The sequence below is a fragment of the Homo sapiens genome, chromosome 16 (genome assembly GCF_000001405.40).
Source record: "Homo sapiens chromosome 16, GRCh38.p14 Primary Assembly".
Classification (NCBI taxonomy): Eukaryota; Metazoa; Chordata; class Mammalia; order Primates; family Hominidae; genus Homo; species Homo sapiens.
The window spans coordinates 2,546,181-2,569,657 of NC_000016.10; the positions used below are offsets into that span (position 1 = coordinate 2,546,181).

The 23,477-nt window shown below is 52.9% G+C and overlaps 1 protein-coding gene across 11 annotated transcripts in view, besides 3 other annotated features; it reads left to right on the forward strand.

Annotated features, from left to right (window-relative positions):
- PDPK1 (3-phosphoinositide dependent protein kinase 1) overlaps positions 1-23,477 on the forward strand; it is a 65,168-nt gene that overhangs the window by 8,160 nt on the left and 33,531 nt on the right. For 5 of the 11 annotated variants that reach the window (XM_047434200.1, XM_024450296.2, NM_002613.5 and 2 more), the window contains 5 exons: positions 11,523-11,783; positions 15,300-15,342; positions 15,591-15,728; positions 19,373-19,517; positions 20,176-20,273. In XM_047434200.1, coding sequence (XP_047290156.1) covers positions 11,580-11,783; positions 15,300-15,342; positions 15,591-15,728; positions 19,373-19,517; positions 20,176-20,273 — 628 coding nt within the window. In that variant the 5' untranslated portion in view covers positions 11,523-11,579. The other 6 variants (XM_047434202.1, XM_011522521.4, XM_047434198.1 and 3 more) reach the window with 6 other exon arrangements.
- Positions 11,162-11,663: an enhancer, noted in NCBI's record as "H3K4me1 hESC enhancer chr16:2607343-2607844 (GRCh37/hg19 assembly coordinates)". NCBI's record gives its function as "activates a minimal SCP1, AML or CMV promoter by ChIP-STARR-seq in primed H9 embryonic stem cells {active_cell/tissue: H9 hESC(primed)}" and the evidence as "EXISTENCE:reporter gene assay evidence [ECO:0000049][PMID:30033119]".
- Positions 13,996-14,497: an enhancer, noted in NCBI's record as "H3K4me1 hESC enhancer chr16:2610177-2610678 (GRCh37/hg19 assembly coordinates)". NCBI's record gives its function as "activates a minimal SCP1, AML or CMV promoter by ChIP-STARR-seq in naive H9 embryonic stem cells {active_cell/tissue: H9 hESC(naive)}" and the evidence as "EXISTENCE:reporter gene assay evidence [ECO:0000049][PMID:30033119]".
- Positions 14,498-14,997: an enhancer, noted in NCBI's record as "H3K4me1 hESC enhancer chr16:2610679-2611178 (GRCh37/hg19 assembly coordinates)". NCBI's record gives its function as "activates a minimal SCP1, AML or CMV promoter by ChIP-STARR-seq in naive H9 embryonic stem cells {active_cell/tissue: H9 hESC(naive)}" and the evidence as "EXISTENCE:reporter gene assay evidence [ECO:0000049][PMID:30033119]".

Consider the following 23,477-nt stretch of genomic DNA (forward strand, 5'->3'; position numbering starts at 1 on the left):
TCAAGCGATTCTCCTGCCTCAGCCTCCTGAGTAGCTGTGATTACAAGTGCCTACCACTGCGCCCGGCTAATTTTTGTGTTTTTAGTAGAGACGGGGTTTCACCATCTTGGTTAGGCTAATCTTGAACTCCTGACCTCGTGATCTACCCACCTCAGCCTCCCAAAGTGCTTTGAGACAGAGTCTCGCTCTGTCGCCCAGTCTGGAGTGCAGTGGCGCGATCTCGGCTCACTGCAATCTCCACCTCCCCGGTTCAAGCGATTCTCCTGCCTCAGCCTCATGAGTAGCTGGGATTACAGGCTCCTGCCACCATGCTGGGCTAATTTGTGTATTTTTAGTAGAGATGGGGTTTCACCATGTTGGCCAGGCTGGTCTTGAACTCCTGACCTCAAGCCATCTGCCTTGGCCTCCCAAAGTGCTGGGATTACAGGTGTGAACCACCGTGCCCGGCCTTCCTTAGTGGCCCTTCTAACCTTAAGCTGCTTTTCCTTCCTGACAGCGGGGCCCTACTCTCCTGGTCTCTTTCCTGCTTGGGCAAGGTGCCATGAGGCTTTTCCTAGGCCTTGACTTTGCTGTAGCTTCTAAGGTGTCCTGTGGCGGCAAAAGGGACGTGTGCTCTGTGGGTGGGTGCAGCCACCTGTAGAGCTGCAGCTATATCCGCAGGATGGTTGTGTGACTGATGGTCCTTGGGGAGCCCAGCAGTGAGGATCTCAGCAGCCCACCTGTCTCAGAGTCCCCGCTGTGCACCCAGGCCCAGGGCTCAGTGAGTGAGAGCTCTCCGACCTCGGTGGGGGCGGGGCTAATTGACCTTCAGACCCACCGTGTGCCAGTGCTGGCTGGCACACAGCACTGCTTGGACTTCCCCTGTGGGAAAGGATGGGGACAGATCAGTCTTTGGAAGAATGGAGCGCTGGCTTTGCTCAGCCCTGTTCTTGGGAAGGTTTGATCTGGAGAGCCGCAGCAGCCAGACCCTGGGGAGGCAGGTTAGTGAGCAGGCTCCCAACTTACGAGCTAGGAAGGCTGACGGCTGCTCATTTCCCCCCATGTGGACCTCATCAGGGGGTCCTTCCTGAGGGCGAGCGCTAGGTTCGTCTGCGTTTCTCTCTCCCAGTTGGGCCTGACTCTGGACGCCAGGCTGAGGGAGTACACAGCTCCTTCAGAGCACGGGCTCAGACGCTCAGATGCTCGGAGCGCTTCCGGCTGCTTTTCCATGGGTAACTCACATGTTCTTCCTGCAGGCTGGCATTTGTCTTTCATGGCTTTTTTCCATCGGTCAGAATTACAGTCTTTTGATTGTATGTACGTACCTGGTTATTATCAGATATCTAGTTTAAAATGTGCATCTGAATATAGATTTTCTTGGTGAACGCATTGCGTTCTCATTCCGTAAAAAGTCGGAAGCTCAAAATGATGCTTAAAAAAAAATCTTAGCAAGCTCTCCTGTGCAGATGCTGCTGGCGCTGAGCTTTGTGCCTGGGGCAGAAAGGGTGAGGACGGCCCCGGTTGGTTTAGGAAAAGTGGTTATGAACAGAACGGGCCCCATGCTCCTGGCCTGAGGAAATGTTGTGTGAAAAAGATGGCTTCTACAGCTTGAAGGGGGACGGTCCACCTGATGCTCCTGTCCCTCTCTGAGCCCCAGGGGCAGAAGGGAAACAGTCAATAGCACGGCCGTTGCAGATGGTGCCCATAGAGGGAGGGTAGTTAGTGTCTGAGCAGGAGAGGGTGACCGGCCTTTGTGGGGCTGCTTCAGAGAGCCGGGCAGAGTCTGGGCCCCAACGTGGACTAGCAGGGGAGGAGCTCTCCTGGCTGGGGTGGCGACTCGGGGAGGTCTGGGTTGCCTGAGCAGGGAATCGGCCTCCAGTGGGGGAGGTTCTGAGTGGGACGCGCTCTTCGTGTGGGCCTGGAGGACCTCTAGGCGGCCTGCACTCGCCTGATACAGCTGGCTTCTGCTGGGAGGCTGGGTTTGCATCCAAACTCTGAGACCTTTTGGACAAAACATGCCAAAGAAGTTGGTGGTAGTAAGAAATTCATACTAAACTTGTTCTGTTAGGGTTTTTTTCCTTCCAGGTATATTATTTCCCTTCAGTAGCCCTACATTTTAAAAGTTAACGTTCAGCGTTGAGTCAGGGTCAGGTTTTGAATGACACAGGATGTTTTCAGATCCTGAGTTTACCTGAAGCTCTCAAAGTAGCCTCCTAACAAAAATTATTGAAAACATCAACTATTTTGGAATACTTTTAGGTATGTAGAAAAATTGCAGACGACACAGAATTTCCATAATTTCCCCCAGCCAGCTTCCCCTAATGCCATGACATGACCGTGATACCTCTGTCACTCTGTCGAAACTGAGGTGTTCGCGCTGGCACCACACTACTCACCGAGCGACAGGCCTGTTTTGGATTTTATCAGTTTTCCTCCTGATGTCCTTGCTGTCCCAGGACCCCGCCCCGGTGCCACATCGCATCGCGTTGTCCTGTCTCATTCGCCCCCTCTGGTGTAGGATAGCTGCCGTCCTTCCTTGTTTGTCATCAGCTTGGTACTTTTGAGGAGTCCTGGTCAGGTATTTTGCAGAATGTGCCTTCATTTGGGTTTGTTTGATGTCTTGTGGTTGGACAGGTTGTGGGGTTAGGAAGAATCCCACAGAGATGAGGTGCCCTTAGTGCGTCGTATTGGGGTACAGGACATCCACGTGACTCATCGCTGGTGACGTTCAACAAAATTACTTACAAAACTTTTAAAAAATTATTATTGTTTGCTTTAGAGATGAGCTCTCGCTCTGTCATCCAGGCTGGAGTGCAGTGGTGGGATCATAGCTCACTGCAGTCTCCAACTCCTGGGCTCAAGCGACCCCCCCACCTCAGCCTCCTGAGTAGCTGGGGCTACAGGTACGTGCCACTGTGTCTGGCAAAATTAGTTTTACTTTACCAAAAGGAAGCACATAGGCCTGCTCTGCTCTCTGCTACTTGGGGGTTTTGTGTCATAGATTGTAGGACACTGGTGGTAATTTAATTTCAGAAGGGACCTTCTTGCTCACCCAGTTGGATCCTTCCAGTTTCTAGATGAAGACACTTGGGACCTGGAGGCCTTCTGACTTTTGGGTCAGAGCTGGCATGGAGTCCAGGCACCTGCTTTCTGCAGGCATGCATGCTCCTGGGACACTCTGCAGGGACAGAGCCATCCCCAGCAAGGCAGACTGACAGGGCTGGTTTCCAGTCGGGTGGGGCCGCATCCCTCCAGGGGATGTGAGGCAGGTTTGAGATGAGTCTGCTCCCCTTCTGCCTGCTGCTCCTGTCTTTTTTTTTCTTTTTCTTTTTCTTTTCTTTTTTTTTTTTTGAGACGGAGTCTCGCTCTGTTTCCAAGGCTGGAGTGCAGTGGCGCGATCTCAGCTCACTGCAACCTCTGCCTCCCAGGTTCAAGTGGTACTCCTGCCTCAGCCTCCCAAGTAGCTGAGACTACAGGCATGCGCCCCCACACCTGGCTTATTTTGCGTTTTTAGTAGAGACAGGGTTTCTCCATGTTGGTCAGGCTGGTCTCCAATTCCTGACCTCAGGTGATCCTCCCAAAGTGCTGGGATCACAGGCGTGAGCCACCGCAACTGGCCTAGGAGTAACTTCTTAATGAATATTTTAATAATATAAATCTTAGTCTGAATTTCTGACTGTGTCGCCTAGATGCCATGTAGGGGAATGGGCAGGTCAGAGGGTGTGGCCTGCGGTGTGGCGAGGCACTGAGGATTAGGTGCTGCAGTTTTCCTCCGGCCCCTCCTGGTTCCCTGGTGAACACACATCAGCCTCAGATGGGCGACCCCCTACTCATGGGAGGGCTGGGAGTGTGGGCCTTGTAGTTGGATTCTGCTTCAGAATTGCGTGTGACCTCACTGTGGAGTGTTTGACTGGACAAAAGCCTGCTGTATACTCAGTGTCCCCATCTGTAGAAAGGATGCCGATGGTACCCACCCCCAGAGTTGTTTTGAGGACTAACCACGATAATACATGTAAAATGCTCAGAAGAATGTGTGGCAAACAGCAAGCACTTAATAAATTTTTTTTTTTAGTAGAGAAAAATGGCATTTTATTTATTTTAAACAACAGCATTTAAAGTTATACCTATAAGGGGCACACAGAAGATATATGGAGAGTTTAAAGAATGAAAATAAACTCACACGTGCCCACCACCCTACTTGAAAAACAGGATTTTACCAGAAGGCTCGAGTGGCCCTCCAGATTGTAGTTTCTGGCCCCTCCCGTTCAGAGGTAACTGGCATCCTGGTTTTCATGTTGATCAGTGGTGTTTAAAGTACACCTGTAGGAAGTTCCAAAGTGCAGGAAGGGAACAAAGCCTCCTTGCAGAGAAATCTTGTACTTTGGTGTTTCATCATCTGTTTGTGTGACAAATATACAACGTTAATGTTGAAGATGTGGGTTAGTGAAATTGAGACCTGGCGCTTCCTGAGGCTGGCAGCCCGGTTGAGCCTGAGGACCAGACTTGAGGCAGTTGGCAGTCCGCGCCTCGTTGCCCTCTGTCTGCCCTGGGTAAGTGAGAGGCTCCTTGGGAGGCCAGTGGAGATGGCTGTGGGAGGACAGATTGAGTAGCTGTCCTTGGAGCTGCTCCTCCCTCCCTTCGTGGAGAAATAGAAACAGCTTTCCTCCGGCCCTCACCTGTTGCCAGGGCTCCACGCTGGTGGGGGCGAGCTGCGTTTTGCTGAGTTGCACCGTGGGAGAGCGTTGGTGACCACTTGCCTGCTGTGGGCCAGCTCCCCGTGGCCAAGGACCAGCGTGGGCAGGGCCTTCGGGCACGGGTTGCTGGTACGAGCACACCGAGAATCCCCTCCGCCATAGGGCCTGCCCTGTGAGCTGCCCACCAGATTCCACGGAGTGCTTCACACTCCTGTCTGGTGTGGGTCCCGCAGCCCTTGTGGGTGGGCCCATGTCATTAGCCTCATTTTAGAGAAGAGTCTTGATGGGTCGGAGAGCGGTGGCTTACCCACAGGTAAGCTGTAAATCTGGAACTCAACTGGGGCATTGGTTTTGCTAGTCCACCACAGTTGTCCTTGGTGGTGGCAGCCTGAGGGGTAGGGGAAGGTGGCGGCTGTCCCTCCCTAACACCCCCTTCCTCCACCTGGTTTTCTGTGCTGGGCCTAGCTTTGTGGAGTTTTCTGAGGTGAGAGGAGGTTTTTACCAGAATGTTCTTTGCCAGTGAGCACAGCTGACCTGAGGGCAGGATCCCTTTGGAGATGAGCTAGGTGGATTGTGGCAGCCTCCCACAACTTTGGTCCGGGGGCCTGGAGAGAGCAGTTCCTGCTTGCCGCGTGTGAGAGTGTGCGGGCGCTGGCTCTACCTGTCGCACTGCATTCCCAGGCTCCAGAGCACACACTGCCATTTAAAGGTAGCTTAGCTTTCTGTTCGGGATCCTTTCTCTTGCTGGCTGAAGTGTTCATCTGCGTGACAGCATCTTGACCATAGGAGGCGCCCTGATTTCCATCTTTTTTTTTTTTTTTTTTTGTTTTTAGACGGAGTTTCGCTTTTTTTACCCAGGCTGGAATGCGGTGACGCAATCTCTGCTCACTGCAACCTCCGCCTCCTGGGTTCAAGCGATTCTCCTACCTCAGCCTCCCGAGTAGCTGGGATTATAGCTGCACACCACCACACCCAGCTAATGTTTGTATCTTTAGTAGAGACGGGGTTTCAACTATTGGCCAGGCTGGTCTCAAACTCCTGATCTCAGATGATGCGCCTGCCTCGGCCTCCCAAAGTGCTGGGATTATAGGCATGAGCCACTGTGCCCGGCAAAGAGAGTATCTACTTTTTTTTTTCTTTAAAAAAAGATGGGGTTCTTAAAAAGAGATGGGGTCTCACTGTGTTGCCCAGGCTAGTGTTGAACTCCTGGCCTCAGGTGATTCTCCTGCCTCAGCCTCACAGGTAGCTAGGACTATAGGCACACGCCACTATGCCTGGCTACTTTTTATATATTTTTTTGTAGAGATGGGGTTTCACTATATTGCACAGACTGGTCTTGGACTCCTGGACTCAAGCCATCCTCCCACTTCGGCCTCTGGAAGTGCTGGGATTACAGGCATGAGCCACTGCACCCTGCCTGGTTTCTACTTCTAAGAGATGGAGACTGCTGAACTTCATACCCAGACAAGTTAAAGAAATTGAAACTCTAAGTTCTTATATACATATTTTATGAAACAAAATTCTCAGAAAATGCCCAGTTTACCCATGGGCTACATTTTTACAAGTTCCAATTTGTTTAAAACTCAGGGTTTGTTTTCCTATCAGAGGTGTGGTTGGGGGCTCGGGCTGGGGCTGGCTGAAACCTGAGTGCCTGCTGTGGAAAGTAGCAACAGGACCAGCACCTGGTGGTCCCATCTGCCTGTGGGAATAAGTAGGGGGCAGTGACTCGTCATTGAGTGGCGCGGGGGGATGTGAGAGCCCCTCTTCCAGGGACTTGGGGGATGGCACCTGGTAGCTTTAAGGACCTAACCTGTTGATGGTGCTTATTCTCCCAGCCACATTCTGTTGAGAACATTGGCCTTTCCCTGTTCTCAGTAGACCTGTGCCGTGGCACGTCTTTCACATTTCTCAGCACTGATGAAGTCACAGAAGCTTGTCTCGACAGTGCAGTAGAAGGTAGAAGAGGACAGAGGGGGTCCTGTCCTGAGTGGGGAGATTGATTGATTGCCAGGACTGAGAAGGGGGTGTGGAAAGACGTGGTTGGCAGGAGGCTCCTGGTGGGAAAGAAGCCGCACTGACCTGGGCAGGCCTTGGTCATGAGGAAGGAGCCCCAGGGAGCCAGCGTGCGAGGCTGCTGGCGAGGCAGGCCACAGCTCCCCGCCTTCCCTTGGGGGTGGTACGTGCACCTGTGTGTGTGTAGCAAAGCCCAGTGATCAGGTCATAACCAGGGAGTGGGGGGCTTGCATGGTGACCCCACACCTGTGAGGTGGGCACTGGTGTTTTTGGTGGACTTCTCTTGTGAGGAGCTTTTTTTTTTAAAAAAAAAAAAGAAAAAAAAAGAAAAGAGAGCCTTGCTCTGTTGCCCAGACTGGAGTACAGGGTCTCGGTGATAGTTCACCACAACCTTGAACTCCCAGCCCAAGTGATCCTCCCACCTCAGCTGGAAGTGGAACCACAGGTGCACACCACCGTGCCTGGCTCTTTTTTTTTTTTTTTTTAATTTCTTTTTTAAAAAGAGACAAGGTTTTGTTCTGTCACCCCTGCTGGAGTGCAGTGCTATGACCACGGCTCACTGCAGCCTCAGCCTCCTGGGCTCAAGTAATTCTCCCACTTCAGCTGGGATTACAGGTGTGCGCCACCACAGCCAGCAGATTTTTTTTTTTTTTATTAGATGTGAGGTCTCGCCATGTTACCCAGGCTGGTCTCCCAACACCTGGGCTCAAGCAGTTCTCCTGCCTTGGCCTCCCAAAATGGGAGATTACAGGCATGAGCCACCACGCCTAGCCCATTTCATTAGGGAGGACAAGGATAGTAGACAGGTGCACCTAGGGTCTTATTACTGTAAATTGTTCCAGAGATTTAAATTTCAGAAGCTGTTGAGTAACTGGAAGTGTTGACTTACTACAATTTGGGGTCACCAAGTGGGTGGCAGATGGATTGGGCTGTGCAGGGGCTGAAGGACTCACCCGCAGGCCCAGAGTCGCTGGCCTCCCTGAGGCTGTGCTGCCTCCATGGGACTGAGTGCTGGGACGGGGCGTTTTGGGAGCCTGGCAGGACCCTACCCTGCACGTGGGCCCTGGCCGTGCGTTTCCTCCAGATCGTGGCAGGCGGTCTCGGGATGCTGTTAATGCAGTTGAATCACCACCTCAAAATGCTACAAAATCTACCCTTTACAACAATAGTAGTACAAATAAACGTTTAGACACTTCACGCTCAAAGAGGGCTTTTGCTCGGGCTTTTTATTTCACAATTGATGCTTAAAAGTGCTTTTAAAGGCAATATTGCAACTACATTTATTTATTTATTTATTTGCTGCAGAAATGAAGTTATTTATTAAAACACACCCATGGTAGCAAGTTCTGATGGGTCTGAAGAGGAGGCAGGAGCAAGGTGTTGAGCTTCTAAACATCGTCCTGCCAGGGAGGGACCCTGACAGGTGCTTGGCTGACATGCTGTGGCCGAGGCAGGAAGGAAGTTGCAGAATTCCACGAAGGCAGAAGACTACCAGTAGGCAGGTCCCATGTCATCACACCCGTGAGAGTGGCAGTGGTCTGGTGGCCACAGAGATGTCTGACAGCGTGGGTCTGGAGCCGGTGATCGGCTGGCTTTGAGAGGTTCCTTCAGGAGGTGCCTGGACCCTGATGGACAGCCCCCAGCCTCACGCTCCCCCTTGAGGTTTGCAGAGGGTGCCAGAAGTGACCCCAGAAAGGGTTCTCTGAGGTGCTGCGGTCCCTACCCAGCAGCCAGGGGCTCTGTCTGGAAGTGGCCGTGTCGTGGCCGTGCTGAACCGCTATGAGTCCAGAGCTTCCCGGGCCTCCTCTGCTCTGCGGGGAAGGCTCCGGGGCTCTCCCCACCTTCTCGAATCTTTGCTCAGATATCACCTTCCCAGCAAAGGCTGTCTGATTATTTGAATTTGCACCACCCTCATCCAAATAGTCCTGTTCTCTTTGCCTGCTTTATTTTTCTCATAGTAATCATCATCATCTGACACGCTGTGCATTTTCCTGCTCTGTGTATGGAAGTCTGTCTGTCCTGCTGGAATGCAGGCTTCTGGAGGGTGTGGTCTTGGTTTCGTTCTCTGCTGTACTTCCAGTGCCCAGGACGGTGCCCAGCATGGAGTAGCTGCTCAGCCAATGCTGTGGTCTTGATGGGACTGCATTCGCTTTACATGATTGAAGCTGCTGGCGTGGAAGCTGTGCCATGTCATGTAAAGCATGCAGTGGGAAAGCAGTGGGGTGGGGGCGTCTTTGTATTACATCATCTGTTGTTGCCGTTTCAAAAATCCAGAGGCCTTTCTACACTTCAGTTGGATGTTGATTTCAAAATGACCGATGTTTCTTTCTGACTCATGAAGGCTGCTGTCTTTGGAATCTGACATTAGAGGGAAGCGAAACTTTACAATGTGTGGGGCAGCCTGGTGTGGTGGCTCAGGTCTGTAATCCAGCACTTTGGGAGGCCAAGGATGGCGGATCACTCGAGCCCTGGAGTTTGAGACCAGCCTGGGCAGCATGATGAGACCCCATCTCTACAAAAATTAGCTGGACACGGTGGTGCACACCTGTGGTCCCACTACTCAGGAGGCTGAGGTGGGAGGATCACTTGAGCCTAGGAGGTCGAGACTGCAGTGAGCTATGATCATGCCACTGAACTCCAGCCTGGGAGACAGAGTGAGACCCCGTCTCAAAACAGAAAAAAAGTCACCAGGCATGGTGGCACATGCCTGTAATTGCATCACTTTGGGAAGCTGAGGCAGGCAGATCACTTGAGTTCAGGAGTTCGAAACCAGCCGGGACAACAAGCAAAACCCCATCTCTATTTTTTCAAAATTTGTGTATATAAAATTTTTGTATGAAAGCTGTGTGGTACATGTTTAGCTGTTTTATGTTTCACTTTCTGGACATGAGTGTGATCCTCCCTGCTCTTGCAGTGCCATCTAAGCTGTCATCAGTTTTCCTGGGCGAGTGATGCATCTCCCCAGCTGGTCTGTCTGAGCCCCTGGCCAGCCAAGGGGCTGCCCTTGACTCTCCCGGCACCCGCCCGTCTCTGCATAGCCACCCCCACCACTTTAACTGGATGGTTTTGTATTGAGGTCAGGCTGGACATCAGCTTTCTATGGGCAGGGACCGTGTCCTCTTATTGGCTGAGTAATTGGGTCCATAGCGTAGGTAAGTCACCTCCTTTAAGAGACTTTGATAAGCAAAATAGTGAATATATTCTTTTTATTTATTTACTTATTATTTTTTATTTTTGAGGCAGGATCTCCCTCTGTCGTCCAGGCTGGAGTGCAGTGATGTGATCTTGGCTCATTGCAGCCTCGACCTCCCCGGGCTTAGGTAATCCTCCTACCTCAGCCTCCCAATTAACTGCGACGACAGGCACATGCCACCGTACCTGGTTAATTTTTATATTTTTAGTAGAGGTGAGGTTTTGCTGTGTTTGCCCAGGCTGGTCTTGAACTCATGGGCTGAAGTGATCCACCCACTTTGGCCTCTGCGCCCGGCCTATTTTTTTTTTTTTTTTTTTTTTTTGAGACGAAATTTCACTCTTGTTGCCTAGGCTGGAGTGCAATGGCATGCTATCAGCTCACTGCAACCTCTGCCTTGCAGGTTGAAGCGATTCTCCTGCCTCAGCCTCCCAAGTAGCTGGCATTACAGGCATGCGCCAACAAGCCCGGCTAGTTTTTTTGTATTTTTAGTAGAGACGGGATTTCTCCATGTGGTCAGGCTGGTCTCGAACTCCTGACCTCAGGTGATCCTCCCGCCTCTGCCTCCCAAAGTGCTGGGATTACAGGCCTGAGCCACTGTGCCCGGCCTAATTTTGTATTTTTAGTAGAGAAGGGGTTTATTCGTGTTGGTCAGGCTGATCTTGAACTCCCGACCGCAGGGGATCCACCCGCCTCATCCACCCAAACTGCTGGGACTACAGGCATGAGCCACCAAGCCCGGCCGTTTTTAGCGTTTAAAAGGATTGCAGCTTGGCTGGTGGCAGTCCCTCTGTCCTGGCACAGACGCAGGGGGAGACCCTGTGTCTTCAGACAGCATGGACTTCAGGACCCTACTGAGAGATGGAATCAAGAGCTCTCCGGGGTTCTTTGAGTGGGGAGTTGTATCGGAAACCACCATCAGCGCGCCTGAGCTCGCCTCGCATTGTTCTTCTGTAGTGCGGGGGGCCACTGCCACCACCGTGAGGACACGTTGGGGTCTGGGGAGGGATTGTTATGGCTGTGGGTGCACCTTGCACGTCTTGCCGACCTAGCTTTGCACGCTGATCTTCCCTCCGTGCCCGCTTACATTGTTAACTGGGTTTCTGCCCTCCCTCCTCTCCTTCGTATTTCTGTGTCTCATTGACAACTGTTCTGTAGTCGCTTTGTTGACAGTTGCCAAACTGCTTTCCAAAAACATTTCCACTGCAATCCCGGTTTTTGGTGCCAGCCGCAGTGGTGTGAGTGCGCTCGCTTTATTATAGTCTTGCCAGCACTGGGCGTCTCTGTGTATTGTAAACACATGCGATCATCACTCTTATCTCTCCATCCCCCCCACAATTAAAGATGTGCCGTGCTATCTCTGCTCAGGTTACCTTGGCCTTGGGATGAGTTGGCTGGAGGCTCAGGCAGCGCGAGGGACAGGAGGAGGGCGAGGCGCTGCCTGGTGGATTAGCGGGGAGCCATGGCACGGGCAGGACTCAGGAGAGGAGGCCGGCAGCTCACAGCAGACCGCGGGGCTCAGCTGGCCTGCCCTGTGCTTGGGGTTTGTTTTTGAGCGTTGAAATGAGGTCCTTAAACCTTAGTCCGTGCATTGAGAGCAAGGCAGCTGCCTTGAGCCTTACTTCCTTTTCCTCTTTGTCGCCTAGTATGACGCCGTGCCCATCCAGTCCAGCGTGGTGTTATGTTCCTGCCCATCCCCATCAATGGTGAGGACCCAGACTGAGTCCAGCACGCCCCCTGGCATTCCTGGTGGCAGCAGGCAGGGCCCCGCCATGGACGGCACTGCAGCCGAGCCTCGGCCCGGCGCCGGCTCCCTGCAGCATGCCCAGCCTCCGCCGCAGCCTCGGAAGAAGCGGCCTGAGGACTTCAAGTTTGGGAAAATCCTTGGGGAAGGCTCTTTTTCCACGGTGAGTATTTGCTGCTGCTGTGTGTCAAACGTACGTGATTTCCTTGGGGAGGCTCACCTTCCTCGGGGCTTGCCGGAGACTCCAAGCAAGGCTGGTGTCCTTCCAGGCAGGAGGTCTCAGGCCCCTTGAGGGGTGTCACCTGTTGTGAAGGCCACTTGAGTCTTTGGGGGCTGGGTACCCCCCAAGCAGATGACGTGATGAGTGTGGCTAAATATTTAACCTGGTTTTGTAGATGAGAACGTTAGACACATCTCTTGATGGTCTGCGGAGGTTTTTTCTGATGTAGTTAATTTCATTTTAACCTGGCATCAGCAAGTTACATTCTGTGTCCTTGTGTCTCACTGGCAGGGCCCTGGGAAGCTGTTCTTTTTCTTAGATTGAAAGTTAGTATCTCTCCAGGGTTTTTGGGGACATTTATTGACCTCTTCTTATTTCTCTGTTTTGTTTTTTTGAATACATAAAACAGTACGCTCTGGACATTTGCTGGAGACACAGCCTCCAGAGTCTTGTGTTCCGAGTTTCACAAACAGGAGTATTGTCGCAGTACTGTCAAGTCACACTTGTTACCTGTCTTCGGGGTGTTTTTTCCTCTGAAAGCAAAGAAATGAAGGTCGAAAGCAGCTGACATGGGACGTTTTGCTGACGTGGGACCCATGAAGCCGTGTGTGGTTGTGGATTTAGTGAAGGTTGTAACAGGTTCAGGGGAGGCCTGAGCAACTCGGGGTGTACTGTCTCCATCTGGGCCTCTAAAGAGACAGAGTCCCGTGCCGCCACTGTGGTCGCCAAGGTGGCCGCCGTGTGCGTGCTAGGGCCATTCCAGGGAGCCCTGGGGGCACCTCACTCTGGAGGGCCTGGGTGAGTTCCTGAATAATTCTTTCTTGCCTGACCTTTGTGAAGAAACCGTAGGTGAGGTTTATTTTCCTTTTTTCTCTTTTTTACACATAGGAAATATTTCACAATGCAAAGAAAAACATGAAATATAGCTTACCCATATTCCCAACATATTGTTTTAATTAATGTTAACTTTTGCTGCCCTTACACTTTAGATTTTTTAAATTGCAGGTTTTATGAAATAATTTTTTTATAAAAGGATTATGCCCTCATGAAAAATGCCTTCAACCATGAGACTAGTCCCCAAAGTTTTGGGGACTCAGATCCTTTCAGAAAGAAGAAACTCTTTGGAAAACCTTGGGCATTCTGCATGGCTGCTTACAACCACCCAGTGAAAGAACAGGCCTCCTCTTTTCTCAGCTTTACCTGTTTTTTGAGACAGAGTCTTGCTCTGTCACCCAGGCTTGAGTGCAGTGGCATGATCATAGCTCACTGCAGCCTCGACTTCCTGGGCTCAAGTGATCCTCTTACCTCAGCCTCCCAAGTAGCTGCAGTTACAGGAATGCACCACCGTGCCCAGCTAATTGTAAAATTTTTTGTAGAGACAGGGTCTCACTTTGTTGCCCAGACTGGTCTTGAACTCCTAGGCTCGAGTGATTCTCTCCTCAGCCTTGCAAAGTGTTGGGATTACAGGCGTGAGCCACTGTGCTTGGCCTCAGTTTTACTTCCTTGTATGTCTCTTTTTAATTTAACTTTATTTTATTATGTATGTATTTATCCTTTTAGAAACAGAGTCTTGCTCTGTCACCTAGGCTGGAGTGCAGCGGTGTGATCATAGCTCACTGCAGCCTTCACCACCTGGGCTTAAGCGATCCTCCTGCCTTAGCCTCCTGAGTAGCTGGGACCACAGGCATGTGCCACCATACATGGCCCTTAACATTTATCTTGACTGAAAAAGGAAGACTCATCTGTGAAATTGCCTGTTTCCCTGGGTTCTGGAGATGGGTGGAGAGCAGGCACTGTCCCTCCAGGGGCTGTGGTCCGTGTCTTTCTGAACCTGCACCAGGGAGGTGCCCGGGAGAGCACGGTGAGCCGGAGGCTCCTCCATGGGGCTGTTTGGAATCCACAGTACTGGGTCTCAGATTACATGTGTTACCCTCAGTTCTTTCTCAGCTTTCCTGAAATGGAGATCACATAAAAGTTGATTTCCAGGGGAGGGGGAAAGGACAGTGATAGGAGGCTGGGCAAGAGCCAGCTGCAGCACCGGAGAGCCGGGAGGCCCCCTGAGGACGGTCACAACCTCCAGGGAGGGACACGTCACGCGCCATTCTCTGGAAGAGGATCCTTCCTTCTTGTAGGAAACCTGCTTGTGAAGTGTTGAGTTTAGACAACGGAAAGATCACATCAGTATCCCCTTAGAAAGGGTTCCACTAAATATCGGTGCTCGTTCACAATTCTTTCTTCCTCTTTTCTACTTATGAAGCTAGCACGTGCTCTTGTGGAGAAACGTGACCTCACAGAAACACATGAGCTAGAGAGGGGAGCCCTGCCCGGCCCACTTCCCCTTTCTCCCTGGCAGCTGAGAGCCATCCATGCGTGGCGTATTCCTCTGGGAAGACCTTGAGTATGTAGAGTCCCCAGAATCCAACTTCATTCTTCTTGAGTGCCACAAGGCGTCTCACATGGTGCTTTCCAGGATCTCTTCTGACGTGTCCCATCAGGAGTCCTGCCCCGATTGCGGCTCACAGCCCGGGGCCAGGTGGACCTGGCCCTGTGGCCTCCTGAAGGTCTTCCTGCCAGCCCCCAGGAATGTCACGGGACAGGTTTCCTCTGCTCCCTGCTCCTCAGGCCGTCCCCCTGTGGGTGTCTTAGGAGACACTTGTGTCCCACTTGGTGGTGGTGGGGCCTCCCTGGCACAGCTGCCTCATGCTCTCTGGCTAAACCGTGGGCCCACCAGGAATCTCCAGTCTGGTGCCTCAGGGTGTGCCCCAGGCTAGTCCGAGTGGAGGGTCTCTCCCCTGTTTGGGATGCCTGCCCTGCTGGAGTGCTCTGTCTCGGAGGTGGGGTTTGAGTGCAGGGCTCAGGGGTGCTGAGAGGACAGGGCAGGAGGCCTGCTGCATCCCGGGCAGGTGGCTCCCTCTTGTGGGCACGCAGGGCCATGCATTGCTGGTTTAGCTCCCTCTGTCCTTTACAGCCAGGCTCTCTTCATGGTGCCCACAAGCAACATCATACAAAATGTATGATAACAGTTATTTCCAAAAACGAAACTTCAGGGCAGCCTTTGCAATGAATGTATACTAGAAGGACATATTGTTGTCACAGAAGCCCCTGTGCCCTGCCACTTGTGGTGGCGCCACTGTCTTCCTTCTGTTGGTGAAGGGCGTGGCAGTCGAAGAGGTTCCTGAGTTTGTACTTGTGTTGCACCGTTAGGGCTGTTAGCAGCTGATCCAGAAGCTTCTGGAAACAACAGAGAGATGGATATGTTTTCTCTTAGCTGTTAGAACACATCAACACGAGCATTGGCTTTTAGCTCTACTTGTCAGTACAAGACCCAAAATATTTCACTGTAGACTCAAGCCTTCAGTGGGGACAGGAAGCGTGCGTGTGGGGCAGAGGGACTCGTCAGGCCCAGTGTCCTGGTTATTACATTGTGTGTTTCTTTTTCTCCTTTTCTTTCCCAACCAGGTTGTCCTGGCTCGAGAACTGGCAACCTCCAGAGAATATGCGAGTGAGTATGGGCTGCAGGGAGCTGTGCGTCCGGGAGCAGGGCAAGCGGCTCCGTGCAGGGCGGCTGGGGTGGCAGGGCCGGTGTTTCTGTGCTGATTTCAGGGTACAGGACACTGTTGGCTTTAGAGACCACCAGGCTGTTGTGTACAATGTTTGAAAGACTTTAATTTGTACCAGTTACCTTTGTGAGTCATGTCTTTAGTGTTTTTTGTTGTTTCTGATAGTAACTCACTTCTCTCTCACCTGAAGTTAAAATTCTGGAGAAGCGACATATCATAAAAGAGAACAAGGTCCCCTATGTAACCAGAGAGCGGGATGTCATGTCGCGCCTGGATCACCCCTTCTTTGTTAAGCTTTACTTCACATTTCAGGACGACGAGAAGCTGTGTATCCTTTGCGTGGTTGGTGCCGTCTGAAGCCACACCAGTCACCCCTCTCACTTGGAATCAGACCCTGTGTGTTCCCACAAGCAGCCCCCGCTCCCTGCCGAGTGGGGTCCCTCAGGCCGCTGACATTCAGGGAGGCAGCCGAGGCAGCGCCAGGGTGTGGCTGGGAGTCTGCACAGGACGTTACCTCCCGGAGAAGCCACCGATGTGGCTCCAGCACAGTCCTCTCTGCTGCGGCTTGCTTGGTCGGCGTCCCTTGCTCCCCTAGAGCGCCATCTTTTCTGTTATTAAACCTTGGCTCAGGAATCTGGGAGGCAAGGCCCGGTGGAAGTTGGGGTGGGCCCCACCTCTGCCCCATCCAGCTGACCTGTGGGCCTGCCAGTGGCTGGGCTGGCCACGCCACACCGTCGTCACCCCCAGCAGGTGCAGTCTGCATCTGCTCTTCTCCTCCCCCGCCACCCTCCAAGCTGGCCCAAGTGTCGTGGCCTCCCCATCCTGCCTGGGGAGGGGCCTGAGTCCTCCCACCTGTCCTCCCCGTCTCTCCCCAGCACCCGGCTCTTCTGTGTTAGAGCTTCGTTCTGGCCTGCTCCCACTCTCAGCACCATCCTGCAGCTCCTTCGGCTGCCGGCGGAGTGTGTGTGCTCTCTCTGTTTGGAGGTGCTTGCCAAGTGCAGGTTGATGGGTGATGGGGATGCGCTGCTATGCCGGGTGGCGTCTCTGCCCACGAGAAGCTTCGATTTTGGTGGAGGAGCTGGACGTGCACTGACGATCCGTGTCAGAGGCTTCCCGGCAGCAAGATGCGCTGCCAAGAGTCTTAGGGCTGGGTAGGGGCTGGCGGCAGTGTGGGGCTCTTTCAGCTCCTGGGCAGGAGTGTGTGGGGGGGCATGAAAGGCTGTGGTGGGCTGGGCCCCTGAGCCGTGGCAGCCTGGCACTGACTCTGGACTTCCTTCTCTTTGTGGCGGGGAACGTGGGGTTTGCTGTGGCTTCTCCTAGGCCAGGCGGGAGAACGGGCAGGAGAGCAGGGGCAGGGGCCGTGGTCGAGGTCTGATGAACAGACCGGTCAAGAGAATGGAGTCAGGGGCGGCTCCTGGGAGGTGGCCCTCAAGCCTAGTGCACAGCGGTGTCTGCTGCTGAGCTGGGAGAGACCGGGGCGGGTGCTGGGCTGGCATTTCATGCATCCGCTGGTGCCACCATTCAGGTCTGAGTGGGCACTTAGGTGCTGCCAGCAGAGCTCCAGGAGGAGTCAGGGCCGTGAGGACTTTCACAGCGAGCTGGCAGGCTGCCCAGAGGTTGGCTCCTCTGTGAGTGGAGCCTGGGTTCCCCCCAGTGCAGGGGTGAACACGAGGAGGGGCCCACCGAGGAGAGGAGATGGTGATGGGATGTTGCTCCCGAGCTCGAATGATGGAGACCCAGAGGCCACGGGATCAAACGATTTCTGATGGAGGGTGCTGGCTGCCCACGCAGGGGTTATGAAGCGGTCAGGTGCACACAGCCTGACCCGTGGATCTGCCCTGTGCCAGTTGTTGATGGTGGGTAGGCAGTTTCTTGGGGGGACTGTTCAAGGAAGAGTAAGAGGTGAGGAAATGGAAACGACGCAAGGTGCTTCCCTGGGATTTTGCCTAGGGAGGAGCGGGGCAGTGGCCGAGCAGCTGCCAGGCACGTGGCCCGGAGCGGGCTTTGCTGTTGGTTTGTGGAAGGTTGTAGAGAATGCTGGCCTCCAGGCAGGCCTGCTGTCCTCCAGTGTCATCCCTGTTCCTGCCTCTGTCTCCCACTCTCAGTGGCTTCTTCACGGTATGTTCTGTCTCTCACCTTCACGTTCCCCGGGGCCCTGCACGTCTCTGCCCCCGTATGAGCCACGGGAGTCCCTCTGGGCTTCCCGCAGAGCCGTCGGAACACGGCTGCTTGTTGGTTGTGAGGCTGCAACAGAATTGCACACGCTTGACCTCTCCCATCCTCTCCTCCCGGGGGCTCAGAGTCCAGAGGAGAGTGAATCTTGCTGACTGATTTCCAAATGGGATTGGCCAGAGCGGTGCAGGTAGTGGGAACTCCAGGTCTTTGTCCAGTGGTCCATGTTGCCCTTCATCATTAAGTCAAATTCCAAAGCCCCGGGAGGTTGTGAAGGTTCACTCGCCCCTGACGGGAACGAGACCCAGGGACTTCTGCCCCACCAGGCATCCTCGGTGTGGGTTGTATTTAGAGATGGGCCTGGACAGGGGCCACTTTGGGCAGCCTTGGTTGCAAGTCCCTTCGCTTCTGGGTTTCTCTTCGTTGCCCTGAAGCTTCAGGTTCATCCTTGGTGGGAGATGATGGTGCCCTGGCAAACAGAAGTGAGCAGGCAGGCCAGCCTGGCTCTGAGCACGAGCCCCCCTTCCTGGCCTCGAGAGCCACTGCTCAGGGCAGGCAAGGATTTGGGTCCCCGTGTCCTGGGCTGCCAGTAAGTGTGAAGTATCTGGAGGTTTCCGGTAATGGGGATGGACGTTTGCCGCTTGCAGGGGAATCTGTATCTGGGATCCATTTATTGTCGGTCTTAAGTCCTCTTGGAAAAGGAGGCTACAGATGGAGCCATCGTAGGGCAGTGGTGCCCAGAGGAGGGGGCCTCCCAGACACACTTCATGGGTGTAGAAGTTCATGAGATGGCTTTTGTCTTACAAAGTGTGTCACTCGGCCAGGTGCGGTGGCTCACGCCTGTAATCCCGGCACTTTGGGAGGCCAAGGCGGGCAGATCACGAGGATAAGAGATGGAGACTATCCTGGCCAACCTGGGGAAACCCCGTCTCTACTAAAAATACCAAAACTAGGGGGGCATGGTGGCGCGTGCTTGTAGTCCCAGCTACTCGGGAGGCTGAGGCAGGAGAATTGCTTGACTCCGGGAGGCGGAGGTTGCAGCGAGCCGAGGTAGCGCCACTGCACTCCAGCCTGGCGACAGAGCGAGACTGCATCTTAAAAAAAAAAAACAAAACAAAATGTGTCACTTTATCCACGGAAGGAGACTGCATGGAAGGGGCAGTGCCACGCGTGGATGCGTAGCACATAAAGCCGGGGTCTCAGGGCAGGGGCTGTCGCGCTCTCCGACCCTGCTCCGCCGGCCCCCGGGGTCTTTGTGCATCGAAGCCTGCACGTGAGTTATATGCGCTTTTTGGTCGGGGTCTGTAGGCCCTGTCACCAGCGGTTCCCTTTCACTGAGGCCGTGGACACGGCCAGGGGCCAGAGGGGCAGTCGGGGCTGAGAGGCTCTGTTCCTGTTTCCTCGAGACCGTGTAATGGCGTTCTTAATGAGAAAGCCCTCATCATGCTGGTGCCTCGTCTTGGAGCTGGGGCCTGGGATGCCCGGCAGATCCAGTGACATGACTGTCTTGGGCCACAGGTACTTTCAGTTTGCACTGAATTAAAAATTCTTATCAGACTTTTAAGGTTAGTTTTCCAAAAATGACTTTTACAAAATAAAACACATGAGCCAGGCGTGGTAGCGCGTACCTACGTTCCCAGCCACTTGGGTTGGTTAAGGTGGGAGGATCGCTTGAGCCAGGGAGGTTGAGGCTGCAGTGAGCTATGATTGTGCCCCTGCACTCCAGTCTGGGCAACGGAGTAAACCTGCTCCAAAACGAAACAAGAGATTTTTACACTTCCTTAACTGCACGATATTCAGATTTCGGCCTTAGTTATGCCAAAAATGGAGAACTACTTAAATATATTCGCAAAATCGGTTCATTCGATGAGACCTGTACCCGATTTTACACGGCTGAGATTGTGTCTGCTTTAGAGTACTTGCACGGCAAGGGCATCATTCACAGGTAACCGCGGGGGTGGCTGGGTGGGTTTGCAGGACGTCAGTTTGATGATCAGGGCCAGTGACCGTTTGGCTCACAGGCCACGGCTGATGCCCAGATGGCCCCCGCCCTTGAGGTCAGCCAGGTTGGAGTGCTCCCTGGATGGGTGGGACTGAGATGCCTGCCTGTGCCACAGCCTGAGTGCCAAGGCGAGGCCACACGTCCACGGAGCGCTGACGTGGAGAGGCTCTCCTGCCAATACCACATGCAATGGTTGCGTGTCTTTCCTGGCGAGCTAATGATTCTTTTCACCATCTTGACTGATGCTTTTTATCTTTTTCAGTTGTAGCTTCTGTGTGTACTTCTTTCTGGTCTCGTTTTTCATGACTTTCTGATAAAGTCAGCTCAGAAGTGTGCATAGCTTTCATTTTGTGCGTTAAAAATGATAGATTTTACTTCGTTAAAAAACGACTTAGAATGACATGGAGATGTGAGGTGGTGAATCCCTACTGTGTCCAGCCAACACTTGTTGCTTGTGAGCTTTAGGCCTGTAGCCCTGGTTGTCAGCCTGTAAGGATCATATACATTCATTCGTTCATTTTGTTTTCAGCAAAATTTAGAGTACGTAATAATGTTGCTGTTTTAAGTATTTCTTCTCAAATGTGAAAATCTGCTTTTACAGGGACCTTAAACCGGAAAACATTTTGTTAAATGAAGATATGCACATCCAGATCACAGATTTTGGAACAGCAAAAGTCTTATCCCCAGAGAGCAAACAAGGTGTGTGAGTTTTATTTCTAGCAGAGCCTGGCTCTGTGCTTCAGATGGAAAGCGACTTCTGAGGAGTGTTTGCATTGTGTCATCTTCATCAACGACTGAGGTGGGGATACCTTGGCCGTTCTCAAACAGATCTTGAACTTTCTCTGGGCAAGACCCTGCCACGCCAGCAGGTCTTCCTGGGGGGGCCCCAGGCAGTGTGTGTTGGTGTAGAGTGGGAGGTCGCTGGTTCTCCTCGGCGCCTGCTCTGGTTCATCCTCCCTACTCGTCTTCTGGACAGTGTGGGGGGCCACATTCGTACCCAGCCACCCGCGTGCAGGATGTGGAGCCGGTGTGGTCAGCTCCTGGCTCCTCCTGCCTGTGTTGCAGGTAGTATCCGGGCGCGCACATCCCTGTACCTCGGTGCGCTCCCTCCGTTAGCTGTCCGTCTGTCTCCCTGCTGGCCACGTGCACGTTTGTCATCACAAAGCCTCCGAGTCCTGTTCCCAAGGGTAGTTTCTAGCCTCGGACCATGTTGTGACAACTCCATCGGAGATGTTGCTGAAAGTCCACTCGGGCCAGAGAAGTGGCCTAGGTTGTCTTAGCCGGCCGGGGGTATCTCGATGCCCTTCAGGTGCTTATTGGGTAGAAATCACAAACTCTGGAGGTGTAAAGAAAGGCAGCTGAAATTCTGAAGAGTGCTCCCGAGTGCTGGGTAGAGAGAAGATAAAGCCTTGGGATGAGGTTTGGGGAAGCTGAAGGCTGCTGTGTGCATTATAAGTGACCTTGAAGGTGAACCTCGGGTGATTGCTGGAGTCTGTCTGGGTCAAGAGGCTGGGTCCAAGGGCCTCCAAGTGGTGCATGGGCCTCTGCCTGGGCTTGGGGTGCCCGTCAGAGAAAGGCCTCCATAGAGGGCTCTGTGGGGGTGAGAGGTGCTGGAGCCCGGTTTGGAGGGACGCGAGTGCAGGTTTGTTGGTGGAGGAAAGATTCAGACAGAAGTGACCGTGTTGTTGTAGCTGCTCTCGTGTGGAAAAGGGGAACCGTGAGCACAGAGCAGTGGTGGTTCTGGCCTCGTCTCCATGGACGGCCAGCCGGCCCCCAGTAGCTGGAGGAGAGCACAGCTGGGTGGAGAGCAGGCCCTTCAGCAAGGCAGGCACTCTGGACTCAGCTCGGCTTTTCTGTTTCTTAGGAATTGGCCCTGTATTCTGTGTGCTGGGAGGTACCCAGCTGGTGCCTGTGGGGCCTCTCTTGGCACCTTGAGGTAGTTGCTCGTTTCCTCCACCGGGCCTTATCTTTCCCTTCTGGGCGTTTCCAGCCCTGTGTTTTCACACTCAGGGCTCTGGCTGAGATTCTGTCAGTTGGTGCTTTCATCTCTGCACAGTCATGGAGGCCCTAAGACCTTGTCTTGGATCTGGGAACTTCTCTCAGAATCCTCAAACATCACCCTGGCTGTGCATGGGAGCTCACACCTGTAATCCTAGGGCTTTGGGAGGCTGAGGCAGGAGGATCGTTTGAGGCCAGGAATTTGAGACCAGCCACTGGGCAACATGGTGAGACTCCATATCTACAAAAAAGCCAAAAATCATCCTGGTGTGATGGCACACACCTGTAGTCCCAGCTACTCGAGAGGCTGAAATGAGAGATGGATGATGCAGTGAACTAGGATGATCCCACTGCACTCCAGCCTGGGGAACAGAGCGATCAACTGTTAAAAAATAGTAGTAATAAATAAAAAATAAAAGAAGCCTGTAATCCCAGCACTTTGGGAGGTCGAGGTGGGCAAATCACGAGGTCAGGAGATCGAGACCATCCTGGCTAACATGGTGAAACCCCGTCTCTACTAAAAATATAAAAAATTAGCTGGGCGTGGTGGTGCGCGCCTGTAGTCTTAGCTACTCGGGAGGCTGAGGCAGGAGAATCGCTTGAACCCGGGAGGCAGAGGTTGCAGTGAGCCACGATCGTGCCACTGCACTCCAGCCTGGGCAACAGAGTGAGACTCCGTCTCATAAATAAAGAAATAAAAAACATCACCCTTTTGGGGCTAAGATCGAAACTAGCAATCAAGCCGGAGCCTCTTGTTGTCTAAGGTGGCTTAGTCCTGCTGCCGTCCGCTGCCTTTTGTAGCCCCGTTCCCCTCCCCGTCCAGTGGCATGCCAGAGTGCGCACCTCCCGCCCAAAGCTGCACAGAGCCAGGGCGGTCTTCCTGGCGTTTCAGACATGCCCTGAAACCTTGATCTGTTTGACTCATTCCTGTTAAATAGTAACCGTCTTACTGACTGGTAATCCTGTTTCTGTGTACACAGTGTAACCTCATCTCCCTCAGTGTTGTCTGTGACAAAGTTGAACCAAACAGGAACTTCTGTCTCGTAAGCTTTCTTAGGATCTGTCAGTGTCTTGCTGTCCTTGTGCTGACTTCCTGCCCAGAGATGAGCCCACAACATTCCGTGGGGTCAGGAGCGCTGCGGGCTGGCTCTGCCCCCAGTCAGTCCCGGGAACCGCTCTCTGGGCTGTGCCCACAGCCAGCCTCAGGAACCACCTCCCTGGGCTGTGCTCTGGGCATTTTTCCCTTCGTGTGGATTTTCTTTCTTTTTTTTTCCCCTCCCTTATTGCAAGGCTTTATTTATTCATAATTTCAACTTTTATTTTAGATTCAGGGGATCCACGTGCAGGTTTGTGACGTGGGTAGAGTTTCTTTGGAATCTGGTATTTGGCACAGGGATAGTCTTGTTGCCCTGTAGCCACTTAAAAAAAACGGGCATTTAAGTGCGCTGATGAAATAGTGAAATAGCTTGGGCACAGTGGCCCACCTGTAATCCCAACACTTGGGGAGGCCGAGGCAGGTCGATCATTTGCGCCCAGGAGTTTGAGACCAGCCTGGGGAACACGGCAAAACCCTGTCTCTATATAAGATAAAAAACAAAAATTAGCTGGGCGTGCTAGTGCGTGCCTGTAGTCCCAGCTACTCAGGAGGCTGAGGTGGGAGGATCACCTGAGCCTGGGAGATTGAGGCTGCAGTGAGCCGTGATCCTGCCACTGCGCTCCAGCCTGGGCGACAGAGCAAGAGCCTGCCTCTGGAAAAGAAAGAAGAAATCATGAAATAAACCTTTGCTTTTTGGTAGCAGGAGGCTAAAAGTCTTTACATCATTGTAAACCAGGGCCAGTTGCTTGTGCGTATAGATGAGTTGGTGGTTCTTTTCCCCTTGTTTGAGGAAAAGGAAAAAACTATAA